Genomic DNA, 19,327 nt, shown 5'->3' on the forward strand with positions numbered 1-19,327 from the left:
ATAGTATGTGATCAAATATTTGTTGATGGATTTAAATAAAAATGGTAGGGGCATAAAAATATAAAAAAAATAGCATGAAAATATGTTATCTATGTAAATGTGAAAAATAACAGAGAAGCAATGTGGTAACATGGAAAGACAGAGGCTTTGAATTTTAAAAGATTTGAATTTAAGCTTTTTGGATTTGAATTTAAGCTCTGTTTCTTTCTTTCTTTTTTTTTGAGACAGGGTCTCACTCTGATGTCCAGGTTACCCATTCTGTTGCCACTGCAGCCTCGACTTCCCAGGCTCAGGTGATGCTCCCACCTCAGCCTCACAAGTAGCCAGGACTACAGGCTCTCACCACCACACTGACTAATTTTTGTATGTTTTGTAGAGATGAGGTTTCGCCATGTTGCCCAGGCTGATCTCAAACTCCTAGGCTCAGGAAATCCACCCGCCTTAGCCTCCCAAAGTGCTCGGATTACAGACATGAGCCACCACACTTGGCCTGTTCTTAACATTATGTGACTTGGGCAAATAAAAATCTATCTGATTCGTGGTTTTTCACCTGTAAAATAAGTCTCATATCTGTCATATCTACCACACATGGTTATCAAGAGCTACAAATAAGATTAAAAGGGTTCCATAAACTGAAAGCTAAATAGCAACTTGACTAAGAATAATCAAATAGGGAAAAGGTTGTTAGACCAATATCCTTTTTTTTTTTTAAATCAAATGTATTTGGTGAGTGGCCGGGCATGGTGGCTCATGCTTGTAATGCCAGCACTTTGGGAGGCTGAGGGGGGTGGATAACTTCAAGTCAGGAGTTCGAGACCAGCCTGGCCAACATGGTGAAACCCCGTCTCTACAAAAAGAACAACAACAACAACAAAAAATTAGACGGGCGTGGTGGCGTGCACCTGTAATCCCAGCTACTCGAGAGGCTGAGGCAGGAGAATCACTTGAACCCAGGAGGCAGAGGTTGCAGTGAGCCAAGATTGCGCCACTGCACTCCAGCCTGGGTGAAAGAGTGAAACTCTCTGTCTCAAAAAAAAAAAAAGAACAATTATGTTAAACCATATGAAAATGTTTTTATAAGTCAAATATGATGAAATATTGGTAATTTCTTATAGTTCATTCAATCTAACAAAAATGAAGGAAGAAAACAATGCCTAAAGCAGACCTAGCTGGCAGGGGAAGAGAAGCAGCGGGCTGTGCTGAGGGAAGGGCACTGGGAAATATTTTGGTGCAGCAAATTCCCAAACCACTGATATAAAATATTTTCCCAAAAATAACACTTACATATAAGCCCTGTAAACTCTGAAGCTGTAACTCTGTACTCTCCAAAAGCCCACACCACTACACTATTTATTTGCGGGTGTGGGGCAGCAAGATGTGTATGGAGCCAGTGCGAAGCAGAGGCAAGCAGGCTGAGAATCTGGGCTAAAGAATGGGAATTTCCACAAGAGGAAGGGAAACACAACAATGTCTTCTGACTTCTGCTTTCAGTGCTCTAATTTCTCCTATTTCACATATACTCTCAAGTTGAAAAGGAAAGTATACCAATAGTAAAAATTCTTGGCCGAGCACGGTGGTACACGCCTGTGGTCCCAGCTGCTCAGGAGGCTGAGGCAGGAGAATTGCTTGAACACGGGAAGCAGAGGTTGCAGTGAGCTGAAATCCAGCCAATGCACTCCAGCCTAGGTGACAGAGTGAGATTCTGTTTCATAAATAAATAAATAAATAATAAAAATATACCGATAGTACAAATTCTTGAAACTTCACTTTTGTTGTTGTTGTTGTTTTTTTGAGATGGAGTCTAGCTCTGTAGCCCAGGCTGGATGGAGTGCAGTGACACGATCTCTGCAAGCTCCGCCTCCAGGGTTCATGCCATTCTCCTGCCTCAGCCTTCCAAGTAGTAGGGACTACAGGCGCACGCCACCACACCCACCTAAGTTTTTTGTATTTTTTAGTAGAGACAGGATTTCACCATGTTAGCCAGGATGGTCTTGATCTCCTGATCTCGTGATCCGCCCACCTCGGCCTCCCAAAATACTGGGATTACAAGCGTGAGCCACCGTGCCTAGCCGATAATTTTTCTTTTTTTACCATTATAAGAAGTTTCAGGCCAGGTGCCATGGCTCACGCCTGTAATCCCAGCACTCTGGGAGGCCGAAGCAGGCGGATCACCTGAAGTCAGGAGTTCGAGACCAGCCTGACCAACATGGAGAAACCCCGTCTCTACTAAAAATACAAAAAAAAATAGCCAGGCGTAGTGGCGGGCGCCTGTAGTCCCAGCTACTCAGAAGGCTGAGGCAGGAGAATGGCGTGAATCCAGGAGGCGGAGCTTCCAGTGAGCCGAGATTACACCACTGCACTCCAGCCTGGGCAACTGAGTGAGACTCCGTCTCCAAAAAAAAAAAAAAAAAAAGAAATTAGCCGGGCGTGGTGACACCACATGCTTGTAATCCCAGCTACTCAGGAGGCTGAGGCAGGAGAATCACTTGAACCTGGGAGGCAGAGGCTGCAGTGAGCCGTGATCACACCACTGTACTCCAGCCTGGGCAACAAGAGTGAAACTGTCTCAAAAAAAAAAAAAAAAGAAAAAAAAAAAGGAAAGCATCACCACCACCAGACACACTAAAAGCTGCTATCAATACACATAAGTCAGGTTCTAACAAACCTACCAAACTCAGAGTTTTAAAATGAAATTGTGTCAAAGGAGGGCCTTTCTTGTTAAAAAAAAAAAAAATTAAAATATAAAAATATGAAAATGAAGTTGTGGATTTTCAACTATTTCAAAACTCTGCTGCCTAGTTACTTCTGAAAGAAGACTTACAGGGCCGGATGCCGTGGCTCACACCTGTAATCCCAGCACTTTGGGAGGCCAAGGTGGGCGGATCACGAGGTCAGGAGTTTGAGACCAGCCTAGCCAACACGGTGAAACCCCGTCTCTACTAAAAATACAAAAATTAGCTGGGTGTCTTGGCATGCACCTGTAGTCCCAGCTACTCAGGAGGCTGACGCAGAAGAATCACTTGAACCCGGGAGGCGGAGGCTGCCGTGAGCCAACATCGTGCCACTGCACTCCAGCCTGGGTGACAAAGCAAGACTCCATCTCAAAAAAAAAAAATAAAGGCCTGGCACGGTGGCTCACGCCTGTAATCCCAGCACTTTGGGAGGCTGAGGCAGGTGGATCACAAGGTCAGGAGATCGAAACCATCCTGGCTAACACGGTGAAATCCCATCTCTACTAAAAATACAAAAAAATAGCTCTGCGTGGTGGCGGGTGCCCGTAGTCCCAGCTACGTGGGAGGCTGAGGCAGGAGAATGGCCTGAACCCGGGAGGCGGAGCTTGCAGTGAGCCGAAATCGCACCACTGCACTCCAGCCTGGGAGACAGAGCAAGACTCTGTCTCGAAAAAAAAAGAAGACTTACAAACCAAAAATTTTTTGCGCTGTCCTTAACGTATGGCTAAGTTTAGTATTTATATCTTAGTATCACAGACTGTTTCACAGGCCAGAGAAATGTTCCAACCTGGGAAATATGAGAGCAAAAGGCCTTACATATTATTTTCCCTCTGAAAAGTCACCATCTTTCAGAAAAATTTCAGTAATTTTTGAATTTATCTGGTTTTATACAGGGAAAAAAAGCAGTCTTCTGAACTATTCTTTTTCCCCTTATACGTGGGAGCAGAGTTTTCCTTTGATAGGCAGTATTCCAAATTTGGCAGAACATAATTCCTTTACCCAGAGGATTTACCCCTTCATAGTGTACACATTTAAATACCATGCATATATGTATGTATGTAGAGTTGGGCTCTCACCGTATTGCCAAACTGGTCTCAAACCTCTGGCTTATGCAATCTGCCACCTTGGCCGCCTAAAGTGCTGGGCTGTGGGCCACTGTGCCTGGCCTTCTGTAATTTATTCACTGATTGATTGATTGATTGAGATGGAGTCTTGCTCTGTCATCCAGGTTGGAGTGCAATAGAGCGATCTTGGCTCACTGCAAACTCCACCTCCTGGGTTCAAGCGATTCTCCTGCCTCAGCCTCCTGAGTAGCTGGGATTATAGGCACATGCCACCACACCTTGCTGATTTTTGTATTTTTAGTAGAGACAGGGTTTCCCCCATGTTGCCCAGGCTGTTCTTGAATTCCTGACATCAGGTGATCCACCCGCCTTGGCCTCCCCAAGTGCTGAGAGCCACTGCACCCGGACTGTTTATATAAATGTTCTTGACCTTATTCCAAAGCTTTATGGAAGAAGCTCTGGAAGGATTATATAAAGGGTGTGAAGCATTCCAGTTTATTTCACACTTCTCTTAAGGCAGCGAACAAAAAGCATTATCTCGAATGATCTCACCTATAACAACAAAGGGGAAAGGGAAGACCATTTATAAATAAGAAAACTGGAGGTCTGAGAGATTAATTTGCCCAACATCATAATAACTGGTAAGTGAGCTAGGGTTTGAATCCAGGACTGCAGCTCCAAAGCCCATTCTATTTTTCCATTTACCACAATGCTTTTCCTCTCATCACAAGCTTCACATGACTATAGGACCTTCTCTCTTCTTATTTTATTTCATATATAATAGGTGTGTCCTCAGCAAATGGCTGCTATCGTTTGAATATGTCCCCCAAAGTTCATGTGTTGGAAACTTAATCCCCAATACAAGTGTTGAGAGATGGGACCTTTAAGAGCTCACTAGGTCATGAGAGCACTGGTCTCATGAATGGATTAATGCCCTTATCTCCGTGATCCTGGGAGTGGGGTTCTGATAAAAGGATGAGTTCTGCACATTCCTTGTGCAAGCCCGCCCTCCCTCTTGCATTCTCTTGCCCTTCCACATTCTGCCATGGGATGATGCAGCAAGCTGGCCCTCACCAGATATGGCCTCTCAATCTTGGACTTCCCAACCTCCAGAACCATGAGCCAAATAAATATTCCTTTATATATTACCCAGTCTTGGGTATTCTGTTATAGCAACACAAAATGGACTCAGACAATGGCACTAATTAACAGATGGCATTACGTTTGTCAATGATTAAAATTCTCCATTACACCCCTTTCTGCATCGTTGAAGTTACTGTCCACTTCATGCTATTTATCACATTACAGAGCTGATATGGCCAGTGCAAGAATTTTGAGAGTTCTGTTAAATGACTTGCAGGGCAGTCTTTATAGTTTACACCTAAATTACAAGTGAAGTACCAGAGCTTTTTTTTTTTTTTTTTTTTGGAGACAGAATTTCACTCTTGTCACCCAGGCTGGAGTGCAATAACGCGATCTCCGCTCACTGCAACCTCCACCTCCCAGGTTCAAGCGATTCTCCTGCCTCAGCCTCCTGAGTAGCTGGGATTACAGGCATGTGTGACCATGCCTGGCTAATTTTTGTATTTTTAGTAGAGACAGGGTTTCACCACGTTGGCCAGGCTGGTCTCAAACTCCTGACCTCAGGTGATCTGCCCGCCTCGGCCTCGCAAAGTGCTGGGATTACAGGTGTGAGCCACCACACCTGGCCAGGTACCAGAGCATTTTTAACATAATTTCTTTTGCTGTCATTTGTTTAAAACTTGTATTTCAATTGATGTAGAACTTACATTCCTATTCTCCTGGTTAATTTTACTCATCTACCATTTCACTTCATTGTTTATCATTCTTATGATTTTAAATAAGTATAACATTTTTATTTTTTTCTTGTTGTCATTTTTTTGAGACAGAGTCTCACTGTTGCCCAGGCTAGAGTGCAATGGCACGATCTTGGCTCACTGCAACCTCCGCCTCCCAGGTTCAAGCAATTCTCCTGCCTCACCCTCCTGAGTAGCTGGGGTTACAGGCATGCGCCACCATGTCTGGCTAATTTTTTTATTGGTAGGAGAGACGGGATTTCGACATGTTAGCTAGGCTGGTCTCGAACCCCTGACCTCAGGTGATCTGCCCACCTCAGCCTCCCAAAGTGCTAGGATTACAGGTGTGAGCCACTGCGCCCAGCCTATCACATTTATTTTTTAAAGAAACACAAAATTATTTTAAGAATTTGTTTTATTTTACAAGTGTATAGATCCAGGATTCAAGTCAGCACCCATTTTTAATATGATTCACCCTATCAAGAATTATAGGTGTTATTCAAGCCTTTAATAGGAAAATGTACAGGTCCTGTAAATATCACACATTCAGTCAAACAAAACTTTCTGATTTCAGTAAAATTATTAAAGCTGAATGACTACAGATGCCTGGTTCTCTTAAGTCATTGTTTTTAGATTCCAGTCCACACTCCTTGTTCCTTCACACTCTATTTTAATGCAGATACAAAGGGTAGTACTGGCACAGTTCTGAGGACCATCACTTAGGATCTTTTCTTAAGTTTCAAATCTATCTAAGGCAACCAAAATAAGATGAGTCACTAACTGACCTCCAGTTTTATCAGAGTATTGTTCTCAAGTGGAAGGAGCTAAAGCACCCCTTACAACTCATAAATTAGGCATTCGGAAGATGAAATCTACTCATGAACAAGATTAGGAGGCTTTTGTTTTGTTTTGTTTTTGAGACAGACTCTCACTCTGTTGCCCAGGCTGGAGGGCAGTGGCACGATCTCAAAATGTGTACACTTTGAAGGGGTAAATCCTCTGGGTAAAGGAATTAAGTTCTGCCAAATTTGGAATACTGCCTATCAAATCAAACCATGTTGATTTAAGGCCGGCGCGGTGGCTCACGCCTGTAATCCCAACACTTTGGGAGGCAGAGGTGGGCAGATCACGAGGTCAGGAGATCAAGACCATCCTGGCTAACACAGTGAAACCTCGTCTCTACTAAAAATACAAAAAATTAGCTCGGCGTGGTGGCAGACGCCTGTAGTCCCAGCTACTCAGGAGGCTGAGGCAGGAGAACGGCATGAACCCGGGAGGCGGAGCTTGCAGTGAGCGGAGATCGCGCCACTGCAATCTAGCCTGGGCAACAGAGCAAGAATCCGTCTCAAAAAAAAATAATAATAATTTAATTAACATGAACCACCAATTTAAGAAGAATTAAAAGTACTGAAGGGCTCTGGGTGTGGTGGCTCACGCCTGTAATCCCAGCACTTTGGGAGGCCGAGGCAGGCAGATCACAAGGTCAGGAGATCGAGACCATCCTGGCTAACACGTTGAAACCTGGTCTCTACTAAACATACAAAAAATTAGCCGGTCGTGGTGGCGGGCGCCTGTAGTCCCAGCTACTCTGGAGGCTGAGGCAGGAGAATGGCATGAACCCAGGAGGCAGAGCTTGCAGTGAGCCAAGATCGCGCCACTGCACTCCCGCCTGGGCGACAGAGCAAGACTCCGTCTCAAAAAAGAAAGTACTGAAGGGCTTTTTTTTCTGATTCTCCCAACCATTTCCTGTACTGTACGCCTACAGCATTTAATTTATTCTTCTCTTATGACACTTATTACTTTAAAACTTGTATTATGGTTTTCAGTAAAGATATCTTTTTCTTCTAGATCAGTGCTATTCATAAGTATGTGAGACACATACATAATTTTATGTTTTCTAGTAGTCATTTATTTTTAAAAAGTAAAATTGATTTTGTAATTTATTATTTAACCCAATATATCGAAATTTTTTTTAAGACATAAACAATATAAAAATTATTGGGCCAGGTACAGTGGCTCACGCTTGTAATCCCAGCACTTTGGGAGGCCAAGGCGGGTGGATCACCTGAGGTCAGGAGTTCGAGATCAGCCTGGCCAACATGGCGAAACCCCATCTCTATTAAAAATATAAAATTTGCCAGCCATGGTGCCACATGCCCATAGTCGCAGCCACTCGGGAGGCTGAGGCAGGAGAATTGCTCGAACCTGAGAGGCAGAGGTTGCCCCTTATACGTGAAAGTGGAGTTTTCCTTTGATAGGCAGTATTCCAAATTTGGCAGAACTTAATTCCTTTACCCAGAGGATTTACCCCTTCAAAGTGTACACATTTTGAGATCATGCCACTGCCCTCCAGCCTGGGCAACAGAGCGAGACTCTGTCTCAAAAAAAGAAAAAAAATTTATTGTGGGCTGGGCGTGGTTGCTAATGCCTGTAATCCCAGCACTTTGGGGGGCTAAGGCAGGTGGATCACCTGAGGTCAGCAGTTCGAGACAAGCCTGGCCAACATGGTCAAACCCCTTCTCTACTAAAAATACAAAAATTAGCCAGAAGTGGTGGCGTGTGCCTGTAAACCCAGCTACTCGGGAAGCTGAGGCAGGAGAATTGCTTGAACTCGGGAGGCAGAGGTTGCAGTGAGCCAAGATCGTGCCATTGCACTCCAGCCTGGGCCACAAGAGACTCCACCTCAAAAAAAAAATTATTGTGATATTATGCATCCTTTTGGTACTAAATCTTCAAAATCAAATGTGTATTTTATACTTACAGCACATCTCAATTCAAACAGGCCATGTTTCAACTGTTCACTAGCTGCACGTGGCTGATGACTACCACAGTAGACAGTGCAGTCCTAGGTTACTTATGCTTTAGGGACAGGGGGGAAAATGAGCTATCACACAGCTGGACTGACTTGTTTTCAAATCTTGATTCCACTACTTACAAGCCCTGAGGCAAGCTATTTAGAATCAGTTTTCTCACTAAAAATAATAGGATGTAATAGGCTGGGTACAGTGGCACATGCCTATAATTCCAGCACTCTGGGAGGCCAAGGCAGGAGGACTGCTTGAACTCAGGAGTTGGAGACCAGCCTGGACAACAGAGTGAGACCTCATCTCTACAAAAAAAAACAACTTTTAAAATTAACCGAGTATGGTTACTACTAAGGAGGAGATACTCAGGAGGCTGAGGTGGGATGATCACTCGTGCTCGGGAGGCAGAGGCTGCAGTGAATCATGATCATGCCACTGCACTGCAGCCTGGGCAAGAGAGTGAGACCTCGTCTCAAACAAACAAAAAAAAAACCCAAAACAAAACTCACCAGGCACAGTGGCTCACGCCTGTAATCCCAGCACTTTGGGAGGCCGAGGCGGGAGGATCACCAGGTCAAGAGATCAAGACCAGCATGTCCAACATGGCGAAACCCCGTCTCTAGTAAAAATACAAAAATTACCTGGGCGTGGTGGGGTGCGCCTATAGTCCCAGCTACTCAGGAGGCTGAGGCAGGAGAATCGCTTGAACCAGGGAGGCTGAGGTTGCAGTGAGCTGACATCATGCCACTGCCCTCCAGCCTGGATGACAGAGTGAGACTCCATCTCAAAAAAAAAAAAAAAGAAAGAAAAAAGAAAAAAAAAGCTCCGGTGATAGATGGTGGTGCAAGCAGATCACCTGAGGTCAGGAGTTCAAGACCAGCATAGCCAACATGGCGAAATCCTGCCTCTACTAAAAAAACAAAAATTAGCCGGGCGCAGTGGCTCACGCCTGTAATCCCAACACTTTGGGAGGCCGAAGCTGGCGGATAACGAGGTCAGGAGATTGAGACCATCCTGACTAACACAGTGAAATCCCATCTCTACTAAAAAATACAAAAAATTAGCCGGGCATGGTGGCGGGCGCCTGTAGTCCCAGCTACTCGGGAGGCTGAAGCAGGAGAATGGCGTGAACCCGGGAGGTGGAGCTTGCAGTGAGCTGAGATCGCACCACTGCACTCCAGCCTGGGTGACAAAGTGAGACTGCCTCAAAAAAAAAAAAAAAAAAGCTGGACATGGTGGTGTGTACCTGTAGTCCTAGCTACTCATGAGGCTGAGGCAGGAGAATCGCTTGAACCCGGGAGCCAGAGATTACAGTGAGCTGAGATCACACCACTGCACTCCAGCCTGGGCGTCAAGAGCAAGACTCTGTCTCGAAAACAAAATCAAACAAACAAAATCAATAAGAATGATAATAATAAAACATCTCTCATAAGATTAAATGAGATAACGCCTAGAAAGCATCCAGTCCCTCAGAACAGGGCACACAGAAAACCCTCAGTAAATGCTAACCATTATAAGTAGCAGTAGTATACTTGAACACTGAGCAGTGTCTTGCACACAGGTTTCAATAAATGTTTGCTGAAAGAAGAAAAATTGGTCGGGCGCGGTGGCTCACGCCTGTAATCCCAGCACTTTGGGAGGCCAAGGCGGGCGGATCACGAGGTCAAGAGATCAAGACCATCCTGGCCAACATGGTGAAACCCCGTCTCTACTAAAAATACAAAAAATTAGCCGGGCGTGGTGGCGGGCGCCTGTAGTCCCAGCTACTCGGGAGGCTGAGGAAGGAGAATCACTTGAACCCAGGAGGTGGAGGTTGCAGTGAGCCGAGATCGCGCCACTGCACTCTAGCTTGGTGACAGAATGAGACTCCATCTCAAAAAAAAAAAGAAAAAAGAAAGAAGAAAAATTAATTTACATGATAGCCTATAAGCCATTTTAACTGCTGCTTTTAAAAATATATAAATAAGGCCGGGCGCGGTGGCTCACGTCTGTAATCCCAACACTTTGGGAGACTGAGGTGGGTGGATTGCCTGAGGTCAGGAGTTTGAGACCACCCTGGTCAACATGGTGAAACCTCGTCTCTACAAAAATTAGCCGGGTGTGCTGGCAAGTGCCTATAATCCCAGCTACTCGGGAGGCTGAGGCAGGAGAATGGCTTGAACCCGAGAGGTGGAGGTTGCAGTGAGTCGAGATCATTCCACTTCACTCCAGCCTGAGCAAGAGCGAAACTCCACCTCAAAACAACAACAACAAATATATAAATATATATATATATAACTTATATAAAGAGGAGATTTTTGTTATTGTTCCTGAGTAAATTTGTTTTGAACACATTAGGAGAAATGCACAAAAGAGAAATACAGCATTTCATCTTTTGGACTGTTCAAGTATTTTATTTCCTTCTACAGAACAATGAATTATTAAGCAACTATATACTGTAAAGCATTCTCATCAAGAGATTTCTTAAAAAGTATTTGCCATAAACGACAATGCTACTTTACAGGTAATTCTCAATTATCTGCTGTAATATTTTTATCTGAGGTAGGGATAAAAACATCCCATTTCTGGACTTTACTTGGAGAACCAGCTAGAGGTGAATATACGACCCTTCATGACCTGGACTGAAAACATTTTCAAGTTCTCTATTTCGGTCAATACAGCCCCTTTAATAATTCCCCAAAGCATCTCCCCTTTCCACCTGTGCTACGACTCTCTTGCACACGTTTTGTATTCCCACAGATCACAAAATCACAAAGCACCGGAGCTGGAAGAATCTTAAGAGATAATCCAAGGCCAGGAGCGGTGGCTCACGCCTGTAATCCCACCACTTTGGGAGGCCAAGGCGGGTGGGATTACCTGAGGTCAGGAGTTCAAGACCAGCCTGGCCAACATGGTGAAAACCCGTCTCTACTAAAAATACAAAAATTAGCCAAGCCTCGGCCGGACACAGTGGCTCACGCCTGTCATCTCAGCACTTTCGGAGGCCGAGGTGGGCAGATCACGAGGTCAGGAGATCGAGACCATCCTGGCCAACATGGTGAAACCCCGTCTCTACTAAAAATGCAAAAAATTAGCCGGGCATGGTGGTGGGCGCCTGTAGTCCCAGCTACTCGGGAGGCTGAGGCAGGAGAATGGCGTGAACCCGGGAGGTAGAGCTTGCAGTGAGCCGAGATCGCGCCACTGCACTCCAGCCTGGGTGACAGAGCTAGACTCTGTCTCAAAAAAAAAACAAAAAAAAAATTAGCCAGGCATGGTGGCTGGTGCCTGTAATCCCTGCTACTAGAGAGGTGGAGCCAGGAGAATCGCTTGAATACAGGAGACAAAGGTTGCAGTGAGGTGAGATCGCGCCACTGCACTCCAGCCTGGGTGACAGTGCGAGACTCCGTCTTAACCAAAAGCAAAACAAAACAAAAAAACAACAGAGAAAGATAATCCAGTGTTAGTGCTTTCTGAAGCATGTGCTATTGGTAATATGCAAGATGATTTCAGGTGGTATGTGTTGGTACTTATATTTTATAGTCATATATTTAGTTTCATATATATTAGAGAAGTATACCTACCACATCAAATTCATGAGTTCACGTATATTTCCGCTTAGAACAAGGCTAAGTGGTGTTGTGTACCTATAGTCCCAGCTACTCGGGAGGCTGAAGTGGGAGGAGAGCTTGAGCCCAGGAGTTTGAGGTTGCAGTGAGCCATGATCATGCCACTGCACTCCAGCCAGCCTGGGAGATAGAGTAAGACTTTCAAAGAAAAAAAAGAACAAGGACAAAGCTAAAGTAGACAGTCCTTGCTTAAGAAAAGAGGCCGGGTGCACTGGTTTACACCTGTAATCCTAGCACTTTGGGAGGCCAAGACAGGCAGATCACTTGAGGTCAGAGGTTCAAGACCAGCCTGGCCAGTGTGGCGAAACCCCCGTTTTACTAAAAATACAAAAATTAGCCGGGTGTGGTAGCGCATGTCTGCAGTCCCAGCTACTCGGGAGGCTGAGGCAGAAAAATCACTTGAACCCAGGAGGCAGAGGTTGCAGTGAGCCAAGAATACGCCATTGCACTCCAATCTGGGCGACTGAGAAAGATTCCACCTCAAAAAAAAAAAAAAAAAAAAAAACAAAAAAAAACAGTGACAGAAATTTCAAGCTAAGAATAGCAGAGCTGTGTTCCACCCAAATCTAAATCCTAATTTTGTCTTATTACACTGCCCTAAAATAATTTACTATCTGTATGACATCAAGTGATTAACACTCTTATATAATCGCTTCTCGATCACAACAATCTCACTTATCAAACCAACTGTAAGCAATGGTGGTGTCTTAAAGTACTAGTGTCCTTCCACAATGATAGGTGTATAATAGAAGATCAATAATGACTTGATTATGTGGTTAGATTGCTTCCAACCAGACAGACAGCATAGGAGGAAATTCCATATTGGCTCAAACAAAACAATCATAATATATCCTAAAGCCAAACAATGTTTGGATTAATTGCTGTTTGAATTATTCATTGTCACTGATTCCCTCCATGAATGAATATGGAATCAGGAACTGGTACATATATAATCCTAGAAACTTTACAATATATACATACCCAGAGAATATATACAGGAAACGACTCATATAAGTTAGACAGCAGAGATCTTAGAAACCGTACTGTAGGGGCAGGGTGTGGTGGCTCCGCCTGTAACCTCAGCATCCGGGAGGCAGAGGAGGGTGGGTCGGTTGAGCTCAGGAGTTAGAGACCAACCTGGGCAACCCGGCAAGACCTTGTCTCTCTTAAAATTAAAAAAAAAAAAAAGTATACCCCAACTACTCATTTAACACATCAGGAAGCAGAGAGAGAAAATGCTTACAGTCATTTGTTAGTTAATGGCACTGACAGCTCTAGTCTCAGTTCACTTTTTGTGATGTTCCATGGATTCAATATAAATATCAAGGAAATACAACTAAATGCTTCCAGTGTTCTAGTACAAATCCTGCTTAAGGTGAGTTGGGATTTGAAACTCTTTTCATAAAGCAGAAATTCGGTTTATGATGCACTCAGACTAATTAAATTAGCGTTGGGTGATAACGCATTTGCCTGAGAAATCTACAAATACTTCAATGCACTGTTACAACTCAGTTGTTCTTGTGTCCCATTTAGCATACATTTATAAACCTATGGCATTCTCAACAGTCACAGACTAATGTCCTTAGCTACAACCACCCATGGTACATTAGAAAGAGTATGGTCTTTTAAGTCAAAAAGGACTTCCTGAACACCAGCTCTACCACTTAGGATATAACATCAGACAACTTACTTTAGCTCTTTGAGCCTATTTCTCTGCTAAAAGAATAACACTAGCACTAGCACTAGCACCTCATTATCATTATCATTGATAATGATAGTCATTATCAACAGTGAGACAATAGAGATGGTGTAGTCCACTATCTCAAGTATACAGTTAAGTGAAAGGTTAAAAGCAGAGTATAAAAATATTTACCTATGAGTCTAAAAGGGGGTTTATGGTTTGCAACACTGAAATGTTAATTCCTGTTCAATACCTAAATTAGTTTATTTAAATATTTACAAAGCATTCACTCTGTGCAAAGCTTAGAGCATGGCTACAAATTTATAATCTGAGACTGATATATCAAGAAAAGGTGGCAAGAAAGAATTTTTTTATGTTTTTCTTTTTAGTGTCAGAATTACTTGCAAAAGAAAGATTATACATTTAAATACAAAAACAAACAAAAAAAACCTTCTAGTTTTTAAAAAGTATTTATCACAGACATGCTTGAAGTATTTGAAATGACAGTATCTGGGATTTGCTTTTAAATATGCCAGCCTCCCAACCCTGTGCCCTAAAAATAAAAGGGCGGGGCTGGGCGCGGTGACTCACGCCTGTAATCCCAGCACTTTGGGAGGCCGAGGCGGGCAGATCACGAGGTCAGGAGTTCGAGACTAGCCTGGCCAATATAGTGAAACCCTGTCTCTACTAAAAAATACAAAAATTAGCCGGGTGTGGTGGCGGATGCCTGTAGTCCCAGCTACTTGGGAGGCTGAAGCAGGAAAATCGCTTGAACTCGGGAGGCTGAGGTTGCAGTGAGCCAAGATCGTGCCCCTGCACTCCAGCCTGGGTGACAGAGTGAGACTCTGTCTCTCAAAAAAAAAAAAGGGTGGGAACAGTTGAAGCTGGGTGATGTATACCCAGGGACTCATTACCCTATTCTCTCTACTTCTGTGTAAGAAAATCTATGGGGCACGCACAATGGCTCATGCCTGTAATCCAGCAGTTTGGGAGGCCGACGCAGGCAGATCACCTAAGGTGAGGAGTTCAAGACCAGCCTGGCCAAGGTGATGAAGAGGCTGAGACAGGAGAATCACTTGAACCCAGAAGGCAGAGGTTGCAGTGAGCCAAGATTGTGCCACTGCACTCCAGCCTGAGCAACAGGGCAAGACTTCGTCTCAAACAACAACAACAACAACAACAGCAGCAGCAGCAGCAGCAGCCAGGCGCAATAGCTCATGACTGTAATCCCAGCACTTTGGGAGACCAAGGTGGGCAGATCATGAGGTCAGGAGATCAAGACTATCCTGGCCAACATGGTGAAACTCTGTCTCTACTAAAAATACAAAAATTAGCTGGGCGAGGTGGTGCGTGCCTGTAATCCCAGCTACTTGGGACGCTGAGGCAGAAGAACTGCTTGAACCAGGGAGTCAGAGGTTGCAGTGAGCCGAGATCACACCACTGCACTCCAGCCTGGCAACAGAATAAGACTCCGTCTCAAAAAAAAAAAAAAAAGAAAATCTAATCTATGAACATCACAAACTTTTTATTAGAGACGGTGTCTCACTATGTTGCCAGGCTGGTACTGAACTCCTAGCTCAAGCAATCCTCCTGCCTCAGCCTCCCAAAGGGCTAGGATTTCAAGTGTGAGCCACTGCGCCCGGCTGAACACCACAAACTTCTAAGGAACCAAGGTCTCCATCTGAAACTTCGAAATACAAGACACTAGTGGAAAAAAAAAAAGTGCTACTGGCCATTTCAACCAAGAATAAGTAAAGTATTTTAAAATGACTGACAACATCAAGCATGCCTTCCTTATCACATACTAAGCAACAGTATCTTCTCTTTCTTTGGTATTATTACTCCACCTACTAGAACAGCCCAGGGAATATTTTTTCTTTTCTGCCTTACACTTTCTAATTTTTTGTTTTTATTTAAATAACTTGAACTACTAATAATTATACACACACAACTAGGACTACTAACACACCATTACTGGCTATTACATCTATTATTTCATAGTGGACCCATGATATACTTGGCCTTTTTAAAAGCATGACTCATCCGAGAGCGTTAAAAAAAAAAAAAAAGAATCCCAAGGCCAGGCACAGTGGCTCACAACTCTAATCCCAGCACTTTGGAAAGCCCAGCTGGGAAGATCACTTGAACCCGGAATGTGGAGGCTTCAGTGAACTCTCAAACCCAGAAGACTGAGGCTGCAGTGAGCTATGACTGCACCACTGCACTCCAGCCTGGATGACAGAGCGAGACCCTGTCTCCATAATAAAAAATTTTTTTTCAGAAAGAAAAGTTCCATAAGGTTCCAAAAAGCAAAAGTTAAGTTTGACATATGCCAAGTACTACAGTGAATCCACATGAATGAACTGATATGTAGGCACTGTACTAGGTATCACAAGTATTTTAGAGAAGACAAGAATTCGGAAGGGTGTGCACAGATGATATGGAAATACGACACCATTTTATACGGTATAAGGTACTTGAGCGTCCTTGGATTTCAATATCTGCAGGAGGCCTGGAACCATCCTCCAGTGATACCAAGGAACAACTGTACTCATATGCTCTGCCTTTTCATAATTCCAATAATGGGTACGGATAGGAAAATGTTCCCTGCATTTGCATGCAAAGGGACAGAAAAGTACATATATCTATTTCACTATCAAATAGTTCTACTTACTGAACAGCAAATACAAAACATATTCTATACATGTTTCTTCAAATGTGCCTAACTAGTTTACTTCTTTAAGTTATGCTCTTTCAAACACATAGATCAGATTTAATTAACTCCCAGACTAAGCAGAATGAAATTTCCTTTCGCTGTCTTTAAAGAAAAAGAAAATAGGGTGGGGGTGGTGGCTCACACCACTAATCTCAGCACTTTGGGAGCCCGAGGCTGGCAGATCACAAGGTCAGGAGATCGAGACCATCCTGGCCAACATGGTGAAACCCTGTCTCTACTAAAAATACAAAAATTAGCTGGGCGTGGTGGCGCTCGCCTGTAGTCCCAGGTACTCAGGTGGCTGAGGCAGAATTGCTTAAAGCCGGGAGGTGGAGGTTGCAGTGAGCCAAGTTCAAGCCACTGCACTCCAGCCTGGCGACAGAGTGAGACTCCATCTCAAAAAAAAGAAAAGAAGTTTAAAAATAACTCCACCTCCTGAAGAATACACATAGGTGTTCACAGTACTCTTCCTTCATTATTTCTGTATGTAAAAACTGGAGGAAAAAACATTAAATTGGAAATTTGGTCCCTCCACCTCCCCCCAACCCCCCAAAACCCCCATTTCCAATTTATATGACGCCTTTCCTCCTCTGGAGCATAAAACTGCCTCCTTTAAGTGGAGGTTTCCAAATGTCCGGAATACACATGAAGGATATATACACTCCTTGAATAGGCCACTTTTTGCCACTTTCCCTAATAATGTGCTGTTTCTACCACAAACTACTACTAATTGTTTGGTCACCAGTATTAGGATCCTAGTTTGATGAAACGACATCTATTATGTGTCCTCAAAGAGCGAAAAGAAAATTCCAAAAAGTTCGACAGAGTTAGGAATATTAGCTGTATCTACCAGAGGACTATCCCTCTAGTCGTTAAGCTGAAGATGAGAAGTCAGGTAAGGCCTCACATTTCTAGGGGCTCTGGAAACTTCCTTTCTTTCTGTCTCCTGCTTATGTATGTCTTTTCCTCTATCTGAATTGCTTTTGTATAGAATACTAGAACACGAGATGAAGGGGGGAAATGCCAAGAGAAGCAAATTTCTACAAGCAAGTGGTCTTGCTATAGCTTGAACGCCTTAAACAAATCTGATATTTAAAAAAAAAACCAAAAACAGTATCAAGTGGTAGCTTCATTCTATTTGTCCACCTTTAGGGCTAATTTTATATACCTACACCTCTGGAAAAAGTTACTACTGTCAGATTTGCTCCCAAACTTTGAGAATTGTCATTATGGTCTGCAGCATTAAACCTAGATTATAAATTATCAATGTCACTTGATTATAAATTATCAATGTCACTCAACTGAATCACACCAAGCAACGACAAATGTAGATTTCATTAAGAGATACTGTTAAAATCACATTCAGACCTCAGAAAGGCAAGATCCCATAACCCAGTCACAAACACAGCTTCAAACGCTTCCCCAACTTTTCAAGCTTTGGGGCGCCAAGTCACTGGGAGTTAACAGCTTAAACATGGGGTTCAATACAACTGACCAAAGGAAGTGAAGAAAACAAAGCATACATTAATTTCAGCACCAAAAATATGGATTTGCGAATTACATCTACTGCTAATAAACAGATCATTCTTTACAGCCTAAGTACGCCAGGCATTTTTTTATGTTTAAATGGCTTGCCACAAATTGTCCTAGTCGAAACTGATGGCAAAATCCTAAACTGATCTTCGGCGAGGAGACACTCTGCATAGAGCATCACACAAAAGACAGGAGCGAACAGACACGCTCTGGGCCTCGGCGGATTGCGGCCAGGAGCCCAGGTTTTCGTCCCAGACCCCGGCAACAGGGAGGGAAATAAGGGCGGGGGAAAGAAGGAGTGGGAGTGGTATCCTTTTCCCTGAAAGCGCCTGGGAGTGAGGAGCAAAGAGGGAAGGAGCGAGTGCAGCACAGAGGAAGCAAGGAAAGCAGCCGACCGGCGTCAGCGGCTTCCAAGGCCGGCAACACCCTCGGGCCCGCACCAGGCCTGGCCCTCCCGGCTTCGTCCCACCTCCTCACCTCCCTCACATCCTGCAGGCACTCGAGCACCGCCAGGTTGTTGCTCCAGGTGTGCTTAGGGCACACGCGGGTCACGTCCTCCCTGCAGGACTCTTCCTCCGCCAGCTTCCAGCCCCCACCAGCCCCCGCTCCTCCCCGCCGGGCCGGAGGCCCACCCGCCGGGAAAGGCGGCTGCGGCGGCTGAGGCTGCTGTTGCTGTTGCTGCTGCTGCTGTTGCTGCTGAAGCTGCGATGACTGAGGCAGCTGGGGCAGCTGCTGACCCGCCGGGCCGCCGCCTCCGGCCTGCCCTACGAAGGACACAAAGTTGGCCCCGGGACCCTGGCCCTGGCTGTGGACGCCCTGGCCGGGGAGTTTCTCGGCCCCGGCCGCGAATAGCAGCAGCAGATGCAGCGCCGCCGACAAGCGGAACATCCTCCGTACACGTCCACACGCCGCCATCTTGAGTCCGCGGCGAGCTCGACGCACTCGCCGGCGCCGCGTATTTAAATGAGGGGGTGGAGACGCTGGGCGTGGCAGCGTGGCCCTGCCGAGCCCCGCCCCGCCGGCGCCGACCCGCGAACCCAGAGTGGGGCGAAGGAGGAGGCCGTGCTGGAAACCGCACACACCCTGGACCGGCGGGCGGGAGAGCGGCGCTCCTTACCCGGGGGGGTTGCTGGGGTTTCTTAAAAAGCCCGGGCAGGGCGGCCTACTCTAATTCCATTTGCTGTCACAAAAAAAAAAATCAAGGGAATTGGGGTTGCCACAACCAAAATGGCCGGTAGAATATGTCGCCGGTTCAATGACTTGGAAAACAAAAACTTTATATGTAGAGGTGAACTTTGCACAACCAGGTGTATTACGGAATCGGAAAGCCTCTCCTTGTATCGCTCCCTCCTTCCTTCCTTCCTTCCATCTGCCT

General features: G+C 44.8%; 1 protein-coding gene across 5 annotated transcripts in view, besides 2 other annotated features; it reads right to left on the reverse strand.

Annotated features, from left to right (window-relative positions):
* The window catches only part of GLG1 (golgi glycoprotein 1), a 159,675-nt gene extending 140,788 nt beyond the window's left edge, over positions 1-18,887 (reverse strand). For all 5 annotated transcript variants that reach the window (NR_027265.2, NR_027264.2, NM_001145666.2 and 2 more), the window contains exon 1: positions 18,430-18,887. Coding sequence is in view for 3 of the 5 variants with exons in the window: in NM_001145666.2 (NP_001139138.1) it covers positions 18,430-18,867 (438 nt within the window). In the remaining 2 variants the exon portion in view is untranslated. The remainder of the gene's footprint in view (positions 1-18,429) is intronic.
* Positions 18,458-18,637: a silencer, noted in NCBI's record as "silent region_7697". NCBI's record gives its function as "represses an Ori minimal core promoter by ATAC-STARR-seq in GM12878 lymphoblastoid cells {active_cell/tissue: GM12878}" and the evidence as "EXISTENCE:reporter gene assay evidence [ECO:0000049][PMID:35858748]".
* Positions 18,868-19,057: a silencer, noted in NCBI's record as "silent region_7698". NCBI's record gives its function as "represses an Ori minimal core promoter by ATAC-STARR-seq in GM12878 lymphoblastoid cells {active_cell/tissue: GM12878}" and the evidence as "EXISTENCE:reporter gene assay evidence [ECO:0000049][PMID:35858748]".

The sequence above is a fragment of the Homo sapiens genome, chromosome 16 (genome assembly GCF_000001405.40).
Source record: "Homo sapiens chromosome 16, GRCh38.p14 Primary Assembly".
NCBI classification, from domain to species: domain Eukaryota; kingdom Metazoa; phylum Chordata; class Mammalia; order Primates; family Hominidae; genus Homo; species Homo sapiens.